Below are 715 nucleotides of genomic sequence, written 5' to 3' on the forward strand. Positions count from 1 at the left end.
GGTGTATCGAGGCTGGTCTGGCTGATCTTGGGACCCCTGAGCTGTTGATCCCGCAGTTTCCTCAGGGGGTGTCCAAACTTTAACTTGGGTGTGGTGAATCCAAGATTACACTCCTGCCACCTTAACTGCAGTGGGGGTAGAGAGGATTACTGAGTATGGTCCTTCCCACAAAGAATCCATAGATGGGGCAGCAGAGGGGAGGGATTTGACCAATACTAGATCTCCCAGTTGAAACAACTCCATTCCCTCTTCTCTGTGACATCCTTCAGGTAAGTTTTTGAGGTTTCATTGATATTTTGCCAAAGAAGTTATATCTTTGACCAAGTTGGCCATTTCCTGATCAAGTAGGAGGTCGTTTATGAGAAAAGGTCGTCTATACAGCATTTCATTGGACTGAGCCCCATTTTTTGAGGAGAATTTTGTATTCTCAACAAGGCCATGGGCAAGACAGTAGGCCATGTGAGATGAGTTTCTTGTGTTAATTTCCTTAAGTGCCTCTTGAGTGTGTTTCATTTGCCTTCTCACCCTTCCCTGAGGATTATGGCCTCCAGGCGCAGTGAAGGTGATATTGTATCCCTAGTGCCCTGGAAATTCCCTGCGTTATTGTGGCTTTACAAGCCAGACCACTGTCACTTTGTAAGCTTTGAGGAAGCCCAAATCTAGGAATTATTTCATGAATTAGGACTTTAACCACTTCCTGAGCCTTCTCTGTCTT

The 715-nt window shown here is 45.5% G+C and overlaps 1 annotated feature.

Annotated features, from left to right (window-relative positions):
* Positions 214-715: an enhancer, noted in NCBI's record as "NANOG hESC enhancer chr6:63790275-63790776 (GRCh37/hg19 assembly coordinates)". NCBI's record gives its function as "activates a minimal SCP1, AML or CMV promoter by ChIP-STARR-seq in naive H9 embryonic stem cells {active_cell/tissue: H9 hESC(naive)}" and the evidence as "EXISTENCE:reporter gene assay evidence [ECO:0000049][PMID:30033119]".

Source organism: Homo sapiens, chromosome 6 (genome assembly GCF_000001405.40).
Source record: "Homo sapiens chromosome 6, GRCh38.p14 Primary Assembly".
Taxonomy (NCBI): domain Eukaryota; kingdom Metazoa; phylum Chordata; class Mammalia; order Primates; family Hominidae; genus Homo; species Homo sapiens.